General features: G+C 36.9%; 1 protein-coding gene and 1 pseudogene across 1 annotated transcript in view, besides 23 other annotated features; one reads left to right on the top strand and one right to left on the bottom strand.

The window, feature by feature from the left end:
* Positions 11,029-11,164: a transcriptional cis regulatory region, noted in NCBI's record as "pVNTR". NCBI's record gives its function as "variable length polymorphism that influences promoter activity" and the evidence as "EXISTENCE:reporter gene assay evidence [ECO:0000049][PMID:22289258]".
* Positions 11,029-15,142: a biological region, named in NCBI's record as "CYP2C9 promoter". NCBI's record gives its function as "regulatory_interactions: CYP2C9".
* Positions 11,051-11,164: a microsatellite, noted in NCBI's record as "VNTR".
* Positions 12,046-12,062: a protein binding site, noted in NCBI's record as "YY1 site; binds in presence of minor A allele of SNP rs12782374". NCBI's record gives the evidence for it as "EXISTENCE:protein binding evidence [ECO:0000024][PMID:19855097]".
* Positions 12,220-15,142: a promoter, noted in NCBI's record as "-2923 promoter". NCBI's record gives the evidence for it as "EXISTENCE:reporter gene assay evidence [ECO:0000049][PMID:12181452]".
* Positions 12,241-12,263: an enhancer, noted in NCBI's record as "NR1-2XF fragment". NCBI's record gives its function as "mediates induction by Nr1i3" and the evidence as "EXISTENCE:reporter gene assay evidence [ECO:0000049][PMID:12181452]".
* Positions 12,241-12,263: a protein binding site, noted in NCBI's record as "CAR-RE (NR1); also known as DR5-distal". NCBI's record gives the evidence for it as "EXISTENCE:protein binding evidence [ECO:0000024][PMID:12181452]".
* Positions 12,241-12,263: a protein binding site, noted in NCBI's record as "CAR-RE (NR1); also known as DR5-distal". NCBI's record gives the evidence for it as "EXISTENCE:protein binding evidence [ECO:0000024][PMID:12181452]".
* Positions 12,927-12,966: a protein binding site, noted in NCBI's record as "distal AP-1 site". NCBI's record gives the evidence for it as "EXISTENCE:protein binding evidence [ECO:0000024][PMID:24830941]".
* Positions 13,197-13,235: a protein binding site, noted in NCBI's record as "proximal AP-1 site". NCBI's record gives the evidence for it as "EXISTENCE:protein binding evidence [ECO:0000024][PMID:24830941]".
* Positions 13,265-15,142: a promoter, noted in NCBI's record as "-1877 promoter". NCBI's record gives the evidence for it as "EXISTENCE:reporter gene assay evidence [ECO:0000049][PMID:7794915]".
* Positions 13,299-13,322: an enhancer, noted in NCBI's record as "DR4-proximal". NCBI's record gives the evidence for it as "EXISTENCE:reporter gene assay evidence [ECO:0000049][PMID:11991950]".
* Positions 13,299-13,322: a protein binding site, noted in NCBI's record as "DR4-proximal". NCBI's record gives its function as "positive regulation of promoter activity" and the evidence as "EXISTENCE:protein binding evidence [ECO:0000024][PMID:11991950]".
* Positions 13,299-13,322: a protein binding site, noted in NCBI's record as "DR4-proximal". NCBI's record gives its function as "positive regulation of promoter activity" and the evidence as "EXISTENCE:protein binding evidence [ECO:0000024][PMID:11991950]".
* Positions 13,299-13,322: a protein binding site, noted in NCBI's record as "DR4-proximal". NCBI's record gives its function as "positive regulation of promoter activity" and the evidence as "EXISTENCE:protein binding evidence [ECO:0000024][PMID:11991950]".
* Positions 13,438-13,466: a protein binding site, noted in NCBI's record as "GRE". NCBI's record gives its function as "positive regulation of promoter activity" and the evidence as "EXISTENCE:protein binding evidence [ECO:0000024][PMID:11991950]".
* Positions 14,927-14,947: a protein binding site, noted in NCBI's record as "-211 HRE". NCBI's record gives the evidence for it as "EXISTENCE:protein binding evidence [ECO:0000024][PMID:20086032]".
* Positions 14,954-14,972: a protein binding site, noted in NCBI's record as "DR1-A; also known as -185 HRE". NCBI's record gives the evidence for it as "EXISTENCE:protein binding evidence [ECO:0000024][PMID:15919766, PMID:16540586]".
* Positions 14,959-15,008: a protein binding site, noted in NCBI's record as "GATA site 1+2". NCBI's record gives the evidence for it as "EXISTENCE:protein binding evidence [ECO:0000024][PMID:19995889]".
* Positions 14,971-15,020: a protein binding site, noted in NCBI's record as "-149/-145 ERE site 2". NCBI's record gives the evidence for it as "EXISTENCE:protein binding evidence [ECO:0000024][PMID:21493749]".
* Positions 14,989-15,007: a protein binding site, noted in NCBI's record as "DR1-B; also known as -152 HRE and HPF-1". NCBI's record gives the evidence for it as "EXISTENCE:protein binding evidence [ECO:0000024][PMID:7794915, PMID:15919766, PMID:16540586]".
* CYP2C9 (cytochrome P450 family 2 subfamily C member 9) overlaps positions 15,117-23,996 on the top strand; it is a 51,434-nt gene continuing 42,554 nt past the window's right edge. Inside the window, exons 1-3 of the mRNA NM_000771.4 lie at positions 15,117-15,309; positions 18,317-18,479; positions 18,651-18,800. Of these exons, the coding sequence (NP_000762.2) occupies positions 15,142-15,309; positions 18,317-18,479; positions 18,651-18,800 (481 nt within the window). The 5' untranslated portion in view covers positions 15,117-15,141. The remainder of the gene's footprint in view (positions 15,310-18,316; positions 18,480-18,650; positions 18,801-23,996) is intronic.
* On the bottom strand, positions 16,763-17,954 carry MTND4P20 (MT-ND4 pseudogene 20; annotated as a pseudogene).
* Positions 19,432-20,631: an enhancer, noted in NCBI's record as "BRD4-independent group 4 enhancer chr10:96702730-96703929 (GRCh37/hg19 assembly coordinates)". NCBI's record gives its function as "activates an origin of replication core promoter dependent on BRD2, P300/CBP, MED14 and CDK7 cofactors, and independent of BRD4, by STARR-seq in HCT116 cells {active_cell/tissue: HCT116}" and the evidence as "EXISTENCE:reporter gene assay evidence [ECO:0000049][PMID:35650434]".
* Positions 23,296-23,493: a silencer, noted in NCBI's record as "fragment chr10:96706594-96706791 (GRCh37/hg19 assembly coordinates)". NCBI's record gives its function as "represses an EF-1alpha promoter that drives an FKBP-Casp9 reporter gene in an ReSE screen in K562 erythroleukemia cells {active_cell/tissue: K562}" and the evidence as "EXISTENCE:reporter gene assay evidence [ECO:0000049][PMID:32094911]".

Below are 23,996 nucleotides of genomic sequence, written 5' to 3' on the forward strand. Positions count from 1 at the left end.
GTGGTCTGGAATTGAGCACATAATATCTTCAAGATATGCCTGGTGATCCTCATAACAAAAAAATGTAGTTTTCCATTCCGTTTTGTACATTGTAGTCATTCTGTATTGTCTGTCTGTTTAATAATATACCTACCTCCCATATACCACTGAAGCACATTTTTTTGCTGTTCTATCATCTCCCTTTCTTGGTGTATATTACTTTATTCTATTATTTCTGACAATGACAGGGCAAAAAAGTTACAGATACAGCTATTTCTGGAGGTGACTAAGAGATGGGAGAAGCCATAATTTCTCAAGTGTTCTCTACTAAATTCTCTGAGATTGGCTCTTCTATTGGTTATTCTGAGCATGTCTTACTTCTGCAGTAATGGAGAGAGGAAAACACTGTATTTTTTCCATCTTCTTGAACACCTGTGACCTTTGTCTCCTTGGAGTGAAATAACAGTCTTCTATATGATGTGATGACTTTTTTGATGAAGGAACAGAATTACTAGAGTACACATTCAGGGCAACTAATGCTTTTGGAGTTTGTTTTGTTTTGCTAAAATTGCTCTTGAGGCAGCTGTGGTATAAGCAATAATGTACCACAATGCAAATCATAAGATCTCCATTCAAATCCGAGTTCTGCCACATAACAAGATATGAGACACTAGATAGATCTCCCTTTCCCCATTTGAAAAATAAAAAAATATTATTCTTTGCCTTCTAGTGCTTTGGAAAAAGCTTAATGATAAAGTAGTGAAAATTCTCTTTAGTTGCTTTCAGAAACTCTGTCATTGTCTTTTGAAAATTAAGTTATAATGTGTCTTGATGTGGGTCTCTGAGGATACATTCATTGGAGTTTCTTGAGCTTCTTTAATGTTTATATTCATAACTGTCATCAAATTTGGGTAGTTTTAAATGACTGTTTCTTTAAATATTCCGTCTATTTATCCTTTTTCTTCCTTGGATTTCCATAATGCATATGTTGGTCTGCTTGATGGGCTCCCACAGATCCCTTAGGCTCTATTTAATTTTCTTTAATCTTCTTTTCCATCTGTTTATCAGGCTTGATACTTTCCACTGACCTATCTTCATGGTCTCTGATTCTTTCTTCTGCCTGCTCAAATCTGCTTTTGAATCCCACTAGTGAATTTTTAATCTCAGTTATTACACTTTTAAGCTCTAGAATTTCTTTTTGGTTTAATTTCAGGTTTTTTATCTCCTTATTAATATTTATATTTTGTTCATACATCTTTTTTTAAAACCTTTATCGTATCTTACTTTAGTTTGTGAACTCAAAATATCTGAGACAAGTCTCAGTCAATTTAGGAAGCTTATTTTGCCAAGATTAAGGACACACCCATGACACAACTTCAGGAGATCCTGATAACATGTGGTCAAAGTCATCAGGGAACAGCTTAGTTTTATACATTTTGGGGACACATGAGACATCAATCAATATATGTAAGATGCGCATTCATTTAGTCTGGAAAGATGGGACAACTCAAAGTGGGGAGGGGGGTTCCAGGACATAGGTAGATAAAAGACAAATTGTTGCATTCTTTTGGGTTTCTGATTAGCCTTTCACTGAATACACAATTTACAGGAATAGTCGCTTATTCCTTAGAGTGGCTTAGTAAAACAATAAGGCAGGGGAAGCAATCAGATATTCATTTGTCTCACATAAACAGAGAGATGACTTTGAGTTCTGTCTGTCCCTTGTCCACAAGTGATTTTCTTGTGGGCAAATTGTGAGGGAGGTATGTAGCTTTTTAAGCTCTTTGTAGCAATCTTATTTAGGAATAGAATGAGAGGCAGGTTTGCCCAACATGGTTCCCAGCTTGACTTTTCCCTATGGCTTAGTGATCTGGAGACCCTAAGATGTATTTTCCTTTCACATTTTCCAGCTTTTTTTTTTTTTCTCTTGGAAAAAGCATTTCTCAAGAAAATGAGTCTCTGGTTTCAGGTTTTGTCTGATCTCTCATGGTTAGGACAATGTATTCCAAGATGGATAGGTCCCATATTATTAGGAAAGCTCATTTTTAACAGGTGGTAAAGTCTCACATTTTATGAAGAGAAAATCAGAAGAAGAAGGGAGAAAAACAACAACAAACAACAACAACAAAAAGAACAATCCTGGAAAATTGATATATTACCCTGAAGTCCATACTTTAGTAGACAGGTATGAAAGTGGTTTATGTATGTAAATAGGTTACTGTTATTTTCTTCTGAAGTTTAAGTTGTCTAGCTTCAGTTTGCAGAACTTTAAGAAAGAATAGCTTAAATTTTAGTTGCCTCAAATAAGGAAAAAATGGGGAAAAAATGAAAGGAAACAAGAAAAAAAGAAAAACATTATTTTAGAGAATTGTAGGCAGGAAAAATTCTCAAATTCAGGCCAAACTTTAGAAAATAATAAAAATTGAAAATTATTAGGCAAGACTACAATCTAAAAACAATTGTGCTATAGCTTATTGTGAAACATAATTTTTCTCTTTGTAGTCCCATTTTCACTAAAGACAAATCATAGGACAAATTCATTTGCAAAATAAGTTTTAGTCTTATACTTGGCCAGAGTATTTGCATAAAGTCAGCAAGAATAATTGTTTGCCATTTAGGCTCCTTTTTTTTTTGGTTTAAATTGGTTTTGCTAGAACTTTATGTCATAAAAAATCTCAGATTTAGCTTTAATGCCTTAGGCCCAGCTTGTACCTGCAAATTCCTGTGTCAATTGGATGAATTCCTCACCTCAAGGTCCCAGGAAAATTTGGGGCTCCTGGGCTGTCAGAAAATGACATTCTTTAATTATCCTGGGACAGAAATTTGTACAGTGACTGTGTAAACCAGGTATGAGGCCAGCTTTCCCAGGGGCACTTTTATTGGCTCTACAAGTCAATTTTGATTCCTTACAAGAGCCTGTTTGTAGCTGAATGCATGCCATTCCAGTCAAAACCTTGTAAAATAACCAGGATCTCCAACTGTGTCCTGTTACAAAAGAAAATAAATTCTTATTAATCTTATGTAAGTAACTGTATTGTTATAAGTTAAGAATACTCATGGCTAGCTTCCAAGTTTTGAAGAAATCAGGTAGAAAGAAATATGCTCCAAATTTTGTTTATACTGTACTCAATTATTAAAAGCTGCATATAGCTCAAAAGAAAAGTTTCCTTGGCTCTGAAAAACAGACAAAGGATTAGCAATGTTTTAAGCCAAATGTCATAAAATAATTATTTCAGTCTTCTGTTAGTTCAGCTCATGCAGTTAACTGTTGTTTTGCTTGATATTCATGAATATTTCAGTTCTCCATGGGAGTCTTGGAAGTTTTTCCTTTATTCTAGTGTCACAATCTCCAAAGTTATCAGAAACCTGCATTCAAGCACACTTGTCAGAGTCTTATAGCTGATTATAAAACCACCTTTTGAAAAGGATAAAAGTAAAACAGCTGTGGATGACAAAAGTCTCAGAACAGTCATAATTAAATATACAATTGACAAGGAAATTTGGTTAATTCTATGGCATATAACAATTTTACATAATAATCAAAATTACTACTGATAACATATGCTAAGACATATCAGAAACACAGGAATTTCATAGAATTCTGGAACACATACTAGTAACACATTTATATAAATATAATCCAAAGAAGGCTAAACACCACTTTATATATGACAATATTTTCTGTATGATTTTATTATATCAAATAAGCCAAATATATCTCTTTTGGACTTCAGAGGATGAATATCAAAAAATTAATGAGGACCAAAGATAGAATTTGATTTTGGAAAGTTTGTTAAATATAAAATGTTTAAGACACTTGATATCACAAAATAGGATCACAGGTCATTGTAAAATAAGTCATTCATTTAACCAAAGTGATAACTCAAAGATTTGAGAAAAAAAAGTTGAAAACCTTTATTCTTTGTGAGAGAAAATACAATTTCCCAAACTATAAGTCCTAATAAAGACAGCATGAGGCCAGTTAAATTTGTTTTTCAAAAATTTATTAAAAATCTATGAAGTTTTGATCATCTTGACCATAAGATATATCTTTTTTTTTTTTCAAGATGGAGTCTCACTCTGTCACCCAGGCTAGAGGGCAGTGTCACACTCTCAGCTCACTGCAACATCCACCCCCCTGCTTCAAGCTATTTTCCTGCCTCAGCCTCCTGAGTAGTTGGGATTACAGGTACACACCACCACACCTGGCTAATTTTTTGTATTTTTAGTGGAGATGGGGTTTCACCATGTTGACCAGGTCAGTCTTGAACTTCTGACCTCAGATGATTCACCTGCCTCAGGCTCCCAAACTGCTGGGATTACAGGCATGAGCCACTGTGCCCGGCCCATAAGCCTTTTATGTAACCTTTATAACCTTTTATTTAGGAGTGGGTTAACGCTGCAAGAAAACCTTGTTAATCTGACACAGGGCCCCATGTGCTGGTCTTGCCTTTGACATTAATGGTTAATTTATAGAGAAAAAACATATTTTTTCTCTCAAAATCGACCCTCACAATCTCATGTGCCCACCTCTTCCATGATAGTCCCTGCGCTTTGAGGAGTTGCATAGTTTTAATTTCTGGCCTGTGTCTCACAAATGAAGTTTATTTTGATTGGTATCTTCTACTGGGTCTGAAGATGAGGCTTTAACTGGTTTCAGTGTTTAAGATTAAGCAAGACTTGGTGTCTGCCAGGCGAGGTGTCGGAGCCCTGGCATTGGAAAGTGGTGGACTTGTGGGTTGGTAAGAAGAATTTACCGATGCCAGTATAGGGTTGGGAGCTAAAGGACAATTTGCATAATACATGATTACATTTGTAGACATTTTGGTGCCTTAATGTCAGCAGGGGTTGAACGAGTTTTGGCATCATGCATTCTGGAGATATATAGAAATTCTAGTTACTTATAAGTTAAAGTAAGTGAAACCAGGTGCCAATTTTAGATAATAGGGAAGCCCAATTACTTCTAAAATTCTTAGGTAAGGAGTATTAGTCTCCTTGTCCTTGAGGTTCTCAGGACTCTCCTGTGGCTAGGATCTCAAGAATCCTTTGTAGGAATGCAGAGTACCAGGGGTCTCTTACTTACTTTTCCCCAAAATAGGGAGACTCCCCAGGCTCCCAGATAATCCTGGTCCAGCAGGCTGCCTCACTTTTCTCTACTTCCTTCCTTTACATGTTTCTGGCAACCGCTCTGTTGAATTCAAACATCTTCTCTTAGATGATCTATTCAATGTGTGATTATCTACTCATTATTTTGGTTACTTTTTGTGGAGGAAGTGAGTGCCAGATCTAATCAGTAATGTTGCATCCCTTCATTTGTTTTTAAAGTTTGTTTGCTGTAGGCTGTCTCTGTGCCACTTATTAGCCCAAGGTATTAACGTAAGGTCTATTCAAGACCTTAGTGAAGACTTTGCTGTGGCATGTGTGTTAAGTGTCTAATTTTTCCCACATAGCCAGTTTTTAAATGTCTTAGTCTTTAATGTCTATCTCCCAAAAGGGAAAAAAGAGAAACACAAATAGGAGAGGGAAAAGGTGTCAGTCCTTTAAATACCCTGGAAGTCACTTGTTGGGGGAGCTTGCCAAGACTTGGGGGAATTGTAGCAATAATGGGTTCCCAATCTGTGTCTGTACCTAAGTTTTCAAAAGCAGCAGTCATCAGAGGACAGGTCTTCAATATTCAGAAGATAGGTTCTTTTTTGCCCATCCCAGCTCCTGCAAGCTGTGAATAAGCTGCTCCAGGAACATGTGTACAGCTTCCTGCCAGGGGCTGAAGTATGGGGCATTGGTAGGTGCCACTGTGCTAAGAACTGAAATTGACAAAATTGGTTTTTTTTTTTATAGATTTTTTTAAAATTAATTTTTATTTTTTTGAGACAGAGTCTCACTCTGTCAGCCAGGCTGGAGTGCAGTGGTGTGATCTTGGCTCACTGCAACCTCTGCCTCCTGGGTTCAAGTGATTCTTGGGCCTCAGTCTCCCAAGTAGCTGGGACTACAGATGTGCACCACCACACTGGCTAATTTTTTGTATTTTCAGAAGAGACAGGGTTTCTTCTTAAATCATTTTATTAAAAACTAGGACACAAAACACATTAGCCTAGGAGTATGCAAGGTCAGGATCACCAATATCACCATATTCTACTGCCACATCTTGTCCCACTGTAAGGTTTTCAGGGGCAATAACACATATGAAGCTGTAATCGCCTATGTAACATTGCCTTCTTCTGGAATAACTCCTGAAGTACCTGCCTGAGGTTGTTTAATAGTTAACTTAAAAGAAAATGAGTCGTAGAAGAACACAACACTTTGAAATAACAGTAAAAGTATAGTATAGTAAATACATAAACCAGTAACAGAGTCATTTACTATAGTTATTGAGTATTATGTACTGTACCTGATATGTGCTATATTTTTATACAACTGGCAGTGCAGTAGGTTTGTTTACATCAGTGTCACCACATACACATGAAAAATGTGTTGTACCAAGATATTATGATGAGTATGAGTATCTAGGTGGCAGAAATCATCTTTCAGCTCCATTGTAATCTTTTTTCTGAGACAGAGTTGCACTCTGTCACACAGGCTGAAGTGCAGTGGTGTGATCTTGGCTCACTGCAACCTCCATCTCTGAGTTTCAAGCTATTCTCCTGCCTCAGCCTCCCTAGTAGCTGGGACTACAGGTGCCTGCCACCACAGCCAGCTAATTTTTGTACTTTTAGTAAAAATGAAATTTCACCATGTTGGCCAGGCTGTTCTCGATCTCCTGACCTCAAGTGATCCACCCGCCTTGGCCTCCCAAAGTGCTGGGATTATAGGTGTGAGCCACCATGCCCAGCCTCAGCCCCATTATAATCTTATGGAACAACATAGTAAATGAAATCACCTGTTGAACAAAATGTTGGTATATGGTGCATGACTGTATTAAAAGTATTGGAAAAAATCCCACCCATCTTGATTTGTGTATCTGGCAAAATTCTCCTTCACAAGTGATGGAGAAATAAAGATTCTCACACAAAAAAATTGAGAAAATTTATCTCTAGTTCCTGCCTTGCAAAAAATGTTAAATAAAGTTCTTCAGAGAGAAGAAAATGGTGTAAGTCAATCACTGATCTACATGAGGAAAGGAAGGGAGTTAGTGAAGGAATAATAAAAGGAACATAACATTTTTATTTTCTTATTGATTGGTCTAACAGACAACACTTTTTTCAAAATAATAACAATAACATGGCCCTGCAAAAGTGGCTCACACCTGTAATCCCAGCACTTTGGGAGCCCGAGGAGGGCGGATCACCTGAGGTCAGGAGTTCCAGACCAACCTGACCAACATAGAGAAACACTGTCTCTACTAAAAATACAAAATTAGCAAGGAGTGGTGGCACATTCCTGTAATCCCAGCTACTTGGGAGGCTGAGGCAGAAGAATTGCTTGAAGGCAGGAGGCAGAAGTTGCAGTGAGCCGAGATCATACTATTGCACTTCAGCCTGTGTAACAAGAGTGAAACTCCATCTCAAAAACAAAACAAAACAAAACAAACAAAACAGCAACAACAAAAATATATATTTGGTGATTACAGTTTATGGATAAATGAAATAAATGACAGTGATGATATATGAAGAAGGGAGGAAAGAAGTAAGAATATTTTTTTACAGGTAAGTGCACTACCTATGAAGTAGTATAGTGCTATTTTAATGTAGACTTGGGTTAATTGTAAACACATATTGCACATAATACGGAAACTACAAAAAAGTAAGAAAAAACAAGTAATATTAAGGAGAAAAAGAAAATAGACTCATATAACATGCTCAATTAAAACCACAGAAGGCAGAAAAAGAGTTGAGGACAAAAATAGAAACAACGAACAAGGGCAATGAGTAGAAAACAGTAACGCATATATGGTAGATAATAGTTCAACTATATTAAAGTCATTTTAACCGTTGGAAAGACAGAGACGGTCAGAGTAGATAAAAAAACAAGAGCCAAATATGTGTATGTTGTCTATAAGAGACCCATTTGAGATATAAATATACATATAGATTTCAAGTAAATGAAGGAGAAAAATATACCATGCTAACACCAACCAAAAGGAAATGGGAATAGCTATATTAGTTTCAGATGAAGCCATCTCCAGAGTAAGAAAAAATTATTAGAGGTTAGGAAGAGTGTTATATAATGATAAAGAGTTAAATTCTCTAAGGAGAAATAATAAAGTGTATGCACCCAACAATAAGGTCAAAATACATGAGGCAAAAACTGATAGAACTACAATGAGAAATAGATGACTCCACTATTACAGCTGGAGAATTAAACACTCCTCTATTAAAAATGGACAGATTCAGCATGCAGAAAATCATTAAAGACAGATTTGAACTGAATAGTACCATCAATCAACTGATTTGAATTGGCATTTATAGAATACTTTACCCTACAAAAGCAGAATACACATTCTTCTCAAGCTCACATAGAACATTCACCAATATAGACCACATTCTGGGCAACAAAACATATCTTAGGAAGTTTAAAAGAATGTGAATCATACAATGTCTGCTATGAGACCACAGTTGAATTAAACTAGAAATTGATAACAGATATTGAGCTGGAATATCACAAAATACTTAGAGAGTAAACAGCACATTTCTTAATAAAATATGGGTAAAATAATAAATCTCAAGAGGGATTAAAATATTTGGAACTTAACAAAATAAAAATAGAACTTTAAAAAATTTGTAGGATGTAGTGAAAGCAGTGGTTAGAGGGAAACTTCTAGCATTGGGGGCATAAATTAGAAAAGAAAAGGATACAAAGTCAGTAATCTAAACATCCACCTTAGGGAACCAGAGAAAGAAGGACAAATTATATCCAAAGAAAGCAGAGCAAAAGAAACAATAAAAGAGCAGAAATCAATGAAATTGAAAACAAGAAATCAATAGAGAAAATTAGTAAAAACAAAAGCTGGTTATTTGAAAATTATATCAATATATATCTAGCCAGCCTAACCAAGATAAAAAGGGAGAATACAGATTTTCCTATCATCAAAATTAAAAGAAGAACCATCACTATTGATACCATGGACATTAAAAGGATAATAAATGAATATTATAAAGAACTCCATGCCCACAGATTATATAACTTGGATAAAATGGATCAATTCCATAAAGAAACAATCTTCTAAGTCTCACACAAGAAGAAATAGATAATTTGAATAGGCCTTTATTTATTAAAGTAATAAAATAAAAAATAAATAACCTCCAAAAGAGAAAACACCAGACCCATATAGGTCCACTGGTAAATTCTACCAAACATTTATAGAAGAATTATACCCGTTCTCTACAATCTCTTCTAGAAGTAGTACCAGAGGAAATTCTTCTATTCTTAACTCATTTTATGGGGCCAGCATTACTCTAATACTCAAATCAGACAAGGACATTGTAAGAAAGCAAAACTATATATCAGTATATCTAATGAAAATAGGTGCAAACCTCAATAAAAGATTAGCAAATTGCATCCAATCGTGTAGAAAAACTGTATACACCATAACTAAGTGGGATTTATTTTAGAAATGCAAGAGTTACTCAACATATGAAAATCAAATATTTTACTTCATCACATTAGTTACTAAAGAAGAAAAGTCTCATCATCATATCCACAGGTGCAGAAAAAAAATTTGCCTAAATCCAGCACACATTCATGATAAAAACTCTCAGCGAACTAAGAATAGAGGAGGAACTTTCTCAATTTAATAAAGAATATGTGCAAAAAACCTACCGCTAACATCATTATTGGTGAGAAACTTGAAATTTTCTGGCTAATAACAAGAATAAAGTGAGATGTTCCATGAAACTACTCCTATTCAACATCGTACTAGAAACCCTTTTTAATGAGATAACAAGAAAAAGAAATAAAAGTGATACCAATCAGGAATAAAGAAATAAAACTATTGTGTTTAGATCGCATGATTGTTTATGTAGAAAATCTCAAAGAATCAAAAAACCTCCAAAAATAAAAAAAACAAAACAAAACAAAAAGAAAACAACAATAATGAAAAAACTCCTAAAAGTAATAAGCTATTGTAGTAAGGTTGCAGGATACAAGGAAATCAAATTCTTTTCTCTATATTAACAATAAATAATTAGAATTTGGAATTAAAAACATAGTATCATTTATATTAGCACCAAAAATATGAAATCCCTAGGTGGAAGTCTGTCAAAATACATATATCACTTGAAGAAAACTACAAAACTCTGATGAAAGAAAACAAAGATATAAATAAATACACAAATATTTCATGTTCATGGATATGAAGACCGTTGTTAGTCTTTTTGATTTGATCTATAGATCAACACAATAAGAATCAAACTCCAGGAAAGTTTTATTATTTTTATTATTTTTTATCTTTAGATGCTAACAATCTGATTGTAAAGTTTATGTGGAGAGGCCAAAAAACCCAGAATAGCCAACGTTAAGGAGAACAAAGTCAAATGACTGACCTTACCCAATTCAACTTCAAGACTTACTATGAAGCTAATCAAGACAGTGTGCAATTGGTGAAAAAAGTCAAATAGATTAATGCAAGTGAGTAAAGAGTCTGAAGTAGATCATCAGAAATATAGTCAACTGATCTTTGAAAAAAAAGGAAAGACAATTCAATGGGGGAAAAATGGTCTTTTCAACGAAGACTAATGGAGTAACTGGAGGTTCACATACGGAAAAATGAATCTGGAAATAGACCTTACACCTTTAATGAAAGTTAACTAAAAATATATTATAGATCTAAGCCGGGTGCAGTGGCTTATGCCAGTATTCCCAGTACTTTGGGAGGCTGAGGTAGGCAGATCACAGGTCAGGAGATCGAGACCATCCTGGCTAACACGGTGAAACCCCCATCTCTACTAAAAATACAAAAAATTAGCTGGGCATGGTGGCACGCACCTGTAGTCCCAGGTTGTCAAGAGGCTGAGGCAGGAGAATCGCTTGAACTCAGGAGGCAGAGGTTGAAGTGAGCCGAGTTGAGAGCCACTGCACTCCAGCCTAGGTGACAGAGTGAGACTCAGTCTCAGGAAAAAAAAAAAAAAAAAAAAAAATATATATATATATATATGTGTATATATATATATATGTGTATATATATATATATGTGTATATATATATATATATATATATACGTGTGTGTATATATATATATACATATATATATTAGATCCAAATATAAAATGCAAAACTATGAATCTCTGATAGTATAAGATAGGAGAAAATAAAGATGACCTTGATCAGCAATGGTTTTTAAAATACTACAATGAAGGTATAATCCATGAAATAAAGAATGACTAAGCTGGACCTTATTAAAATTTAAACTTCTACTCTGCAAAAGACACTATCAAGGGAATGAGATGAAAAGACAGAGACTGGGAGAAATACTTTCAAAAGATATATCTGATAAACGACTTCTCTCCAAAAATTTTTAAAACTCCACAATTAGAAATCAGACACCTTGATTTAAAAAATGGGCAACAGATCTGAACAGACACCTCACCCAAGAAGAAATACAGATGGCAAATAAATATATGAAAAATGCTCATCATTAAACGTCACTACGGACCTGCAAACTAAAACCCCAATGAGATACAACTACACACTTATACAATGGCTAAAATCCAAAACACTGATAAAACCAAATGTTGACAAGGATGTGCAGCAATGAGAACTAAGTCATTGCTGGTGGAAATGCAAAATGATAAAGACACTTCAGGAGACAGATGGGCAGTGCCTAAAAAAACTAAAATATGTTTACCACATTATCTGGTAGTTGTGCTCTTTGGTATTTGCCAAATAAGTTGAAAATACATTTCCACACAAAAATCTGCACATGGATATTTATAGCAGCTTTATTCATCATTGTCAAAAATTAGAAATCACCAAGATGTTCTTCAATAGATAAATGAATAGACAACGTGATAAACCTATACAATGAATGTTATTTAGTGTTAACAAGGAATGAACTATCAAGCCATGAAAAGACATGCAGAAACTTTATACATATGAGTAAGTTAAATCTTAAAAGGCTACATACTGTATGATTCCAACCGTATTACATTTTGGAAAAGGCAAAACTATGCCTACACTGCAAAGATTATTTGTTGCTAGGGCTTGCAAGGAAGGGAGAGAGAACACGTAAAGCACAGAGGTTCTTAGGGCAGTAAAGCTATTTTATGTGATATTACAATGGCACATGTCATTATGCATTAGTCAAATCCCATAGAATGTACAACACAAAGAATGAACCCTACATAAACTATGAGCTTTGGTTGATGATGATGCGTCAATGTTGGTTCATTGATTGTAACTAATGAGAGTTCTTGATTGTGAGAGAGACTGTGTGTGGGTGCAGGGAAAGAGGCATGTGGTAATTATATACTTTCCACTTAGTGTTGCCAGAAACCCCAAACTGTTTCAAAAGCCTACTCTAATCCACCATTCTAGTCAAGCTGAGGTTTGTATTACTCAGTGACTGTGGAGGGCTTAATGTTGATACTCCCCTGATCATTTGGACTGAGATGTGAATTCTATGAGATGGGATGTGACATGTCACTGAATTGGGAGTTGAAAAACTGGGATTCTAAGAAAAGTCTTGGCTGGGCGTTGTGGCTCATGCCTGTAATCCCAGCACTTTGGGAGACCTAGGTGGGTGGATCACAAGGTCGGGAGATCAAGATCATCCTGCCCAACATGGTGAAACCCTGTCTGTACTAAAAATACAAAAAAATTAGCTGGGCGTGGTGGTGGGCACCTGTAGTCCCAGCTACTTGGGAGGCTGAGGCAGGAGAATGGCATGAACCCAGGAGCTGGAAATTGCAGTGAGCCGAGATCGCACCACTGCACTCCAGCCTGGGTGACAGAGCGAGACTCTGTCTAAAAAAAAAAAAAGAAAAGAAAAAGTCTTATACTGAGGCATTGTGATTGTGATACTTTGTCTCACTGAGTCAATAATTGCTCATTTCTTAAAAAAAAAAAAGCAAAGTTTAGAGTAGTTGATCTCAGATATCCCTTCTATCTACACATTATCTATAATTCTTTCTTTCTGTAAACTGAAAGGTCTAGGAAGGAGCCGCAGCTCAGCAGGAGAGAGGAGGAGCTGAGCTGGGACCCCTACCTCCTGAGGAATGAAATGATTATTATAAAGACAGCAACCGAGCTTATTTTACCCAAAATAAGGTAGTATATTTCTGTTAGAGTTTAGAGTTTCATGAGTCAGGGACCAAGTTATTGCTTTTCTTTGCCCTGTATAAAGGCTTCTCCAAGGCCTTTGACTTACCTAAGTACTAAATGTTATAAAACCAAACTCTTCTGACCTCTCAATCTAGTCAACTGGGGCTGTAATTATTAATGAAATTAATGTTTATTTTGAAAATAATTTACTAGACTGAATTACGAAATCCTGAATCATTGTACACTATCAGTAAATATTGGTGGACCCAACTGAACTGAATGTTTTGCTTGAAATGAAACCTTTGAGATGCAGGGCTTATGGGTTCTAGTCCCAGCTCTAGCACTAGCAGACAGCATGTTCTTGGCTAAGATACTGAATCTTCAAGGCTCAGCTTCCTCATTCCGGAAATGGGTCAATTTTATTGTAAGCAGAGGTAATTGAGAGATTCAAAAGGGACATGAGGTGTAACAATTCTCTGTAAATTGTTAGAATCCCTGTTAAAAATGACCAGTAAAGCTTTGTGCAACTGTGTCTTGACATAACTTTATTTTTCTTAATAAAAGAAATGGAAATAACCTCACTAGGGAATTTAGAACAAATATGATGATATCTTTAAAGAAAATGGCTTTGCACAAGTATTGACATTAATGATCTAGTAAAGTGTATCTTTCTAGTTGTATTTAGATCCTCAACTCAGTATGTCAGCTCCTGTTAAGGTCTATACATTGTGGTGGTTCTGTGCTGTGGGTCCATTTAGTGATTTCCCTACCTCCCATCTTTTATTGCATCCACAACTGTGGTTCTGTCCATAATTTCCTTTGCTTTCTGTGCATTATTACATCATATCTGAAAATGAGAAACCAAAAACAATAGAAAGCAGCCATGTCTGGAGGTGACTGGGGGGTCGAGAAGCCCTAGTTTCTCAAACCCTTAGCACCAAATTTTTCCCTCAGTTACACTGAGCGTTTCACTTCTGCAGTGATGGAGAAGGGAGATCCCTTATTTCTTCTCATGAGCATCTCTGGTGCTGTTTCCCTTAGAGACAAATAAGGGGTTCTATTTAATGTGAAGCCTGTTTTATGAACAGAATAAATGTGGTGTATATTCAGAATAACTAATGTTTGGAAGTTTGTTTTATTTTGCTAAAATTGTTCTCAAGGCAGCTCTGGTGTAAGAGATAATACACCACGATGGGCATCAGAAGACCTCAGCTCAAATCCCAGTTCTGCCAGCTATGAGCTGTGTGGCACCAACAGGTGTCCTGTTCTCCCAGGGTCTCCCTTTTCCCATTTGAAAAATAAAAAATAACAATTCCTGCCTTCAGGAATTTTTTTTAGGGGGTTTAATGGTAAAGGTGTTTATATCTGCTAAGGTAATTTACTTGATATATGTTTGGTTATTTAAGATATATGAGTTATGTTAGCTATTTCATGTTTAGGCTGCTGTATTTTTAGTAGGCTATATTAAATATTTGAAAGGATTTCATTATAAAGAACAAAGTCTCCTAATCTTTGATATAGCATTGACATACTTTTTAAATATACAAGGCATAGAATATGGCCATTTCTGTTAAATCATATATTCCCAACTGGTTATTAATCTAAGAATTCAGAATTTTGAGTAATTGCTTTTGCATCAGATTATTTACTTCAGTGCTCTCAATTATGATGGTGCATTAGAACCATCTGGGTTAACATTTGTTTTTTATTACCAATACCTAGGCTCCAACCAAGTACAGTGAAACTGGAATGTACAGAGTGGACAATGGAACGAAGGAGAACAAGACCAAAGGACATTTTATTTTTATCTGTATCAGTGGGTCAAAGTCCTTTCAGAAGGAGCATATAGTGGACCTAGGTGATTGGTCAATTTATCCATCAAAGAGGCACACACCGAATTAGCATGGAGTGTTATAAAAGGCTTGGAGTGCAAGCTCATGGTTGTCTTAACAAGAAGAGAAGGCTTCAATGGATTCTCTTGTGGTCCTTGTGCTCTGTCTCTCATGTTTGCTTCTCCTTTCACTCTGGAGACAGAGCTCTGGGAGAGGAAAACTCCCTCCTGGCCCCACTCCTCTCCCAGTGATTGGAAATATCCTACAGATAGGTATTAAGGACATCAGCAAATCCTTAACCAATGTAAGTATGCTCCTTCAGTGGCTTGCAAAAGGTAAGTAAATTCACCTGTATTTTTTAAATAAAGTGTATCCCTAGAGGTACATGTTACAAGAGGTAATGGTAAAGTAAAATACTTTGAAAGGCTTTTGTTGCCTTTTCCAGTCTGTCAGTGTCAGAAATAGTGGAATGAAACCATGTATTTTGTGAGTAGAGAAAGATTTGGGTCTTTGCATGTTAGATTCAAAATAACAAGTGTCAATAGTTTGAAAAGCTGTGTTCCTTCTTCATTTCATAACCATTTGCTATAATTTTTGGCTGAAGGTAAATGGTAAGGTATTGTGGGATCTGGTCAGCAGCCCACAAAGCAACTGGGCTCTCTCTTTTTTCCCAGGTGGATCGGCAGGTTGAGAAATAATAGACACACAAGATAGTGAAAGCTGGGTCCAGGGGGGTCACCGCCTTCTGGTCCCATGGTGCCAAGAATGCACTGGATATACCAGCATTTATTATTAAGTTTAGTGAGGGCAGGGGTAGGTTAGTGAGGGATTTAGGGTCATTTGATTATGAGGTGAGATGGTCACATGGGGATGAAGTAATTCTTTAACATAACATTTGTATGTAGAAGTACAGTACATTTGTATGTAGAAGTACAGTATACGGAGATAAGAATTTACAATATAGTGTGTGCGTCAGTAATTTCTAACAGAGCCTTAAAACAGAAACACAATCTTTCCATAACCTATGATTAGCAAGATATTAATCAGCAGTAACAATTGCAACAAAAGCTGGTTACAAACAATCCATGGAAATAGGATGTGAAGCTAGACAACCAGTTAGACCAGAAATTCTCAGAAGGGAGTATGCCTTAACCCTAAAGAGGCCTAGAAGAGCCATGGCAAGATGAGGGCATTTATAGCCCTATCTTATCCATATGGACAGGTGCCCCCCATGCGTCCATTTATAGGTTCTCCACAAAGGTCGCATTCCATTCCCAGAGCTATGAACATCTGCTTTTCTGGGATAGGAATCTTGGTGATGTGAAACCTCTCTGACTGCACGTCCATTCATAGGCTCTCTGCAGGGGGAAGCACATCACGCGCTGTTGGCTCATTCTGGCAGTCCAGCCTGGCACTGTCCTTACACAATCCTGCATGCAATTTTGTATTTACAATAATCGGGAGCATTTCATCTTTTATTCCGTAGCAATAGTTTCAGGGGGGGTCTCCCTACAGTAAGGAACATGTTTGTTATTAGAGATTTTATTAAATAAGTCCTCTACTATATTAGCCATGTGTTTTATTCAGAATAGCCATGAAAATTAAACTTCTCTGAAGAATTAATTTATGCCTGTTGTAAAGGAAATAACTGTGGGTTCAGGACCAGCAAAAGCAGATAAGTGGTAGAAAAGAAGTTATAGACTTCCATTTTTAGATCCACAAAGTACTGTTTTAATTATACTATAGCTACAATATATAAACCCCAAAATGACCTTAGCATTTAGTAATGGTAGGAAGAAGGTCAGAAGATGTATAAGTATTAGGGTTTTTTCTCAAGTGAAAGATGGTTTAGCAGTGTTAATATGATATGTGAACACCCCTCGTTGTGTAATAATTACCATATACAGAGAGTAAAGGGCTGCAATTAGTATATTAAGTCTTATAAGCATGATGGTATGATTAGATCAAGAGAATGACGCTGTAGTTATGAAGACTACTCCTACTAGATTGATGGTAGGGGGCAGGGCAAGGTTGGCAAGACTAGCTAGGAGTCATCACATGGCTATCAGGGAGAGAAGTGTTTGAAGGCCTTGTGTTAGTAGTATGGTTTGGCTGTGAACTCGTTTGTAGTTTGAGTTTGCAAGGCAGAATAATAGGGATGAGGTTAGTCTGTGGGCAGTTATTAGGGAAGTTGCACTGGTAAAACTTCAGGGGGTTTGAATGAGAAAAGCTACGATAACAAGTGCCATGTGGCTTATGGAAAAGTAATGAGTGATTTTAGATCAGTTTGGCACAGACAAAAGGAGCTTGTTATGATTATTTCTCAAAAGGATAGTAAGAAGGAGGAATAAGCTATAAACTCTGTTAGGGGGTTAAGAATTAAGGTGATTTGTATAATCCTATAGCCATCTAATTTTAGGAGTACTGCTGTGAGGACTATTGACCTGGCAATTGCGGCCTCTATGTGGGCTTTTGGGAGTCCTAGGTGGAGTCCATAGAGAGATATTTTTAGTATAAATGCTATGATGCATGCTAATCATAAAAGGCTATTAAACCAGGAAATTGTTAGTTCTTGAAGCTGGGTATTGGTCTTAAGGTAGACTCGAAAGTGCTGATAAATTTCTCAAGCATCAGTGTTTGAATAAGCGGAGTTTCAAATTTTGGTCTGCTGTACATTAGCTGTGAGACACTGAAAATGAATTTGTCATTCTCTGAGCTCAGTTTTTTTTTTTTTTTTTTTTTTTTTTGAGACAGAGTCTTACTCTGTAGCTCAGGCTGGAGTGCAGTGGTACAATCTTGGCTCACTGCAACCTCCATCTCCCAGGTCCCCATTCAAGAAATTCTCCTGCCTCAGTCCCCCAAGTAGCTAGCATTACAGGCATGCACCACCATGCTCAGCTAATTTTTGTATTTTTAGTAGAGACGTGGTATCACCTTGTTGGCCAGGCTGGTCTTGAACTCCTGACCTTGTGATCCACCTGCCTTGGCCTCCCAAAGTGTTGGGATTACAGGCAGGAGCCACCACACCTGGCCGTTTGTTTAAAATAGAGTAAATAGACCTGCTGAATATGTTGATGTGAGTATTAATTGTAATCTGCATAGCAATTGTCTGACCATTGCCTTGAACATCACAGGCCATCTGAGTGGCAAGTATAATCATCATCATGTTTCTATTTAAAATTCAGAAATATTTGAAGCCTGTGTGGCTGAATAAAAGCATACAAATACAATGAAAATATCATGCTAAATCAGGCTTAGCAAATGGACAAAATAGTAACTTCGTTTGCTGTTATCTCTGTCTACTTTCCTAGCTCTCAAAGGTCTATGGCCCTGTGTTCACTCTGTATTTTGGCCTGAAACCCATAGTGGTGCTGCATGGATATGAAGCAGTGAAGGAAGCCCTGATTGATCTTGGAGAGGAGTTTTCTGGAAGAGGCATTTTCCCACTGGCTGAAAGAGCTAACAGAGGATTTGGTAGGTGTGCATGTGCCTGTTTCAGCATCTGTCTTGGGGATGGGGAGGATGGAAAACAGAGACTTACAGAGCTCCTCGGGCAGAGCTTGGCCCATCCACATGGCTGCCCAGTGTCAGCTTCCTCTTTCTTGCCTGGGATCTCCCTCCTAGTTTCGTTTCTCTTCCTGTTAGGAATTGTTTTCAGCAATGGAAAGAAATGGAAGGAGATCCGGCGTTTCTCCCTCATGACGCTGCGGAATTTTGGGATGGGGAAGAGGAGCATTGAGGACCGTGTTCAAGAGGAAGCCCGCTGCCTTGTGGAGGAGTTGAGAAAAACCAAGGGTGGGTGACCCTACTCCATATCACTGACCTTACTGGACTACTATCTTCTCTACTGACATTCTTGGAAACATTTCAGGGGTGGCCATATCTTTCATTATGAGTCCTGGTTGTTAGCTCATGTGAAGCGGGGGTTTGAAGCTGAGAGCCAAGGGAATTTGCACATATTTGTGCTGTGTGTGTACAGGCATGATTGTGCGTACAGTGTGGGTATAAAAGGTTCATTTAATCCCATGTTCTCCTGAACTTTGCTTTTTTGCTTTCAAATAAGAAATGATGAATATAGATTTTGAGTTCATTTTTTGAAAGAGTTAAAGAGCAGTGTTTTTCCCATTACCTATTCCAGAACATGTCACCAGAGAATACTTGACAAGTCAACATGGTGGGAATGGCCCTATCATACCCATATGGAGCATGAACCAAATGGCATGTGCTTTTATTTAATTGGACTGTGTTTGTATGGTCAGCCTCACTGACTTCTCTGGGGTTTCTTTTAGGCCCGTGCTTGCCATTCTGGCCAGTAATGACATTCTACAGTTTTTATTGCTTAGGCATATCTTAGTGCAGTTCTCATCAATTATTATTTCTCTGTAAACACAGCATTATTTTAAAAATAGTATTAATTATTTCTTGTTACTGTATTGATTTATATATTTTCAGTAAATACATCCTGTAGCATAATTCTGTGAAATACCCAAATGTCAATTTATAAAATGATTTATTTAACAAGATTTTACTTATTAGTAATAACTCTGTAATCTGCATTCCCTATGTATGATTTGGCTCTGTTTCAGTTTTGCTTATCTCTTTCCAACCATATTTATGAAATTTTGGCTTAGAAATTTATGTTAATTATTTTTTTTCCATGGCCAACTCTACTCATCTATGAAGTTTTACAATGAATCTGTTTATCAGCTTGGATACCAAATTACCTTGTTTTTAAATTCTGTTTTCCCAATGAAGTTAAAGACTGAAAATCAGATTTATCTGTGAATGACACACACAAACTAACAGATTTCCAACTGTTCAATGCCTGGCCATTCATTCAGAGTACTTTTGATTAAAGTCACTATTTAGGGCCTATAGATATCAGGGGAAATTCAGCCCCTGATATTTCAATGTGAGTCCTTTTCTATTCTCCCTAAGTGTTGGCTGGTCTGAGAAATAAAGGGAAAGAGTACAAAAGAGAGAAATTTTAAAGCTGGGTGTCCAGGGGAGACATCACATGTCGGCAGGTTCCGTGATGCCCCCTAAACCACAAAACCAGCAAGTTTTCATTAGTGATTTTCAAAAGCGGAAGGAATGTGTGAATAGGGTGTGAGTCACAGAGATCACATGCTTCACAAGGTAATAAAATATCACAAGGCAAATGGAGGCAGGGTGAGATCACAGGACCGGAGTGAAATTAAAATTGCTAATGAAGTTTCAGGCACTCATTGTCATTGATAACATCTCATCAGGAGACAGGGTTTGAGAGAAGACAACCAGTCTGACCAAAATTTATTAGGCAGGAATTTCCTCTTCCTAATAAGCCTGGGAGCACTATGGGAGACCAGGCCTTATTTCATCCCTTATCTACAACTGTAAAAGACAGACGTTCTCAAAACAGCCATTTTAGAGACCACCCCTTGGGAATGCATTCTTCTCAGGGATGTTCCTTGCTGAGAAAAAGAATTCAGTGATATTTCTCCTACTTGCTTTTGAAAGAAGTGAAATATGGCTCTGTTCTGCTCAGCCCACAGGCAGCCAGACTTCAAGGTTATCTCACTTGTTCCCTGAACATCGCTGTTATCCTGTTTTTTTTTTCAAGGTGCAGATTTCATATTGTTTAAACAATTTGTGCAGTTAACACAATCATCACAGGGTCCTGAGGTGACATTCGTCCTCAGCTTAGGAAGATGATGGTATTAAGAGATTAAAGTAAAGACAGGCATAGGAAATCACAAGAGTATTGATTGGGGAAGTGGTAAGTGTCCATGAAATTTTCACAATTTATGTTCAGAGATTGCAGTAAAGACAGGTGTAAGAAATTATAAAAGAATGAATTTGGGGAACTAATAAATGTCTGTGAAATCTTCACAATTTATCTTCTTCTGCCATGGCTTCAGCTGGTCCCTCCGTTCGGGGTCCCTGACTTCCTGAAACATATAGATGTGAATTTGGGAGCTCTTTAACTATAAAGTTTAATATCTCAAAATAATAAGAGCTATTTATGACAAACCCATAGCCAATATCATATTGAATGGGCAAAAGCTGGAAGCATTCCCTTTGAAAACCAGCACAAGACAAGGATGCCCTCTCTCACCACTCTTATTCAACATAGTATTGGAAGTCCTGGCCAGAGCAATCAGTCAAGGGGGTATTCAAATGGGAAGAGAAGAAGTCAAATTGTCTCTGTTTGCAGGTGACATGACTGTATACTTAGAAACCCCATCATCTCAGCCCCAAAACTGTTTAAGCTGATAAGCAATTTCAGCAAGACCTCAGGATACAAAATCAATGTGCAAAAATAACAAGCATTCCTATAAACCAATAATAGACAAGCAGAGAGCCAAATCATGAGTGGACTCCCATTCACAATTGCTACAAAGGGAATAAAATGCCTACTTACACAACTTACAAGCGATGTGAAGGACCTCTTCAAGGAGAACTACAAACCACTTCTCAAGGAAATAAGAGGTGACACAAATGGAAAAAAATTCCGTGCTCATGAATAGAAAGAATCAATACTGTGAAAATAGCCATACTGCCCAAAGTAATTCATAGATTCAATGCTATACCCGTCAAACTATCATTGACTTTCTTCACAGAACTAGAAAAGAATAATTTAAATTTCATATGAAGCAAAAAAAGAGCCTGTATAGCCAAGACAATCCTAAGCAAAAACAAAGCTGGAGGCATCATTCTACCTGACTTCAAACAATACTACAAGGCTACAGTAACCAAACAGCATGGTACTGGGAAAACTGGCTAGCCATATGCAGAAAACAGAAACTGGACCCTTTCCTTACACCTTATACAAAAATTAACTCAAGATGGATTAAACACTTAAACATAAAACCAAAAACCATAAAAACCCCAGAAGAAAACCTAGGCAATACCATTCAGGACATAGGCATGGGCCAAGAGTTTGTGACTAAAACACAAAAAGCAATGGCAACAAAAGCCAAAATTGACAAATGGGATCTAATTAAACTACAGTGCTTCTGCACAGCCAAAGAAACTGCATCAGAGTCAACAGGCAACCTACAGAATGGGAGAAATTTTTTGCAATCTATCCATCTGACAAAGGGCTAATATCCAGAATCCACAAAGAACTTAAATTTACAAGAAAAAAAGAAATATCCCCATCAAAAATGGACAAAGGATATGAACAGATGCTTCTCAAAAGAAGACATTTATGCAGCCAACAAACATATGGAAAAAAGCTTATCAACACTGGTCATTAGAGAATGCAAATCAAAACTACAATGAGATACCATCTCATGTCAGTTAGAATGGTGATCCTTACTAAGTCAGGAAACAACAGGTGTTGGTGAGAATGTTGAGAAATATGAACCCTCTTACACTGTTGGTAGGAGTGTAAATTAGTTCAACCATTGTGGAAGACAGTGTGGTGATTCCTTAAGGATCTAGAACTAGAAATTCCACTTGACTCAGCAATCCCATTACTGGGTATATGCCCAAAGGATTATAAACCATTCTACTATAATGACACACGCCCATGTATGTTTATGTGGCACCGTTCACAATAGCAAAGACTTGGAACCAACCCAAATGCCCATCAATGATGTACTGGATAAAGAAAATGTGGCACATATACACCATGGAATACTACACAGCCATAAAAAAGGATGAGTTCATGTCCTTTGCAGGAACATGGATGAAGCTGGAAATCATCATCCTCAGCAACTAACACAGGAACAGAAAACCAAACTCCACATGTTTGCACTCATAAATGGGAGTTGAACAATGAGAACACATGGACACAGGGAGGGGAACATCACACATGGGACCTGTTGGGGCACGGGGGGCCAGCAGGGGGACAGCATTAGGACAAATACCTAATGCGTGTGGGGCTTAAAACCTAGATGACAGGTTCATAGGTGCAGCAAACCACCATGGCACATGTATACCTCTGTAACAAACCTGCACGCTCTGCACATGTATCCTGGAACTTAAAGTAAAATAAAAGAAAATTTAAAAAATATAAAGTTTATCGATCACTTGATTATAACAACTTCATTTCAGAGATCCTCCACCAAACAAGAAAACTTTTCCTATAATTTAATTCATTTAGCTATTAAATGATACGCTGGGCCTAATCAATATCAAATTAAATAGGTTAAATTTGCAGGATGATTAGAGATGAGGGCATTTAGTTCCTAAAGAAGAAAATTCATTTTAAAAAAGGTACAGAAGAAAAAAACTCCACTTATCAATTTACACTTTCTTGTTTGCCTTACCTGGGATTTATATTTAAAATAAAAGTTTTTGGCCAGGCGCGGTGGCTCATGCCTGTAATCCCACAACTTTGGGAGGCCAAGGCTGGTGGATCATCTGAGGTTGGGAGTTCGAGACCAGCCTGACCAACATGGAGGAACCTGTCTCTACTAAATATACAAAATTAGCTGGATGTGGTGGCACATGCCTGTAATCCCAGCTACCTGGGAAGCTCAGGTGGAGAATCACTTGAACCTAGGAAGCAGAGGTTGTGGTGAGCTGAGATCGTGCCATTACACTCCAGCCCAGGCAACAAGAGTGAAACTCCATCTCAAAACAAACAAATAAACAAAAAACAACAACAACAAAAAACAACAACAAAGTTTTCATTTAATTTTTTAACAAACTAATCTATGTTAATTTGATATTAGTTTGTTAACATAACAAACTAATAATATGTTAGGCATATTATTCATTTATATTTGTTTTCCTTCTCATAAAACACATTCTGCTCTTACATTTATTTTCTTAAATACATGAATTCACCAACAGTCTCTTTGGTTCCTCTCTACTGGTTCAACACATGACTCTTTCAGCTATTCATTATATATAAAAAGCTTTGAAATCTCCAACTATTCTTGCCCTTTCCATCTCAGTGCCTTGCTGTCTACTGACTTTGCAGACTGATGTGATTCCCTCTGAAACATGAATTATTAGGTTTTTAGAAAATGCCTTTTTGTTCTTTCCAAAGTAAAA

Source organism: Homo sapiens, chromosome 10, assembly GCF_000001405.40.
Source record: "Homo sapiens chromosome 10, GRCh38.p14 Primary Assembly".
Taxonomy (NCBI): Eukaryota; Metazoa; Chordata; class Mammalia; order Primates; family Hominidae; genus Homo; species Homo sapiens.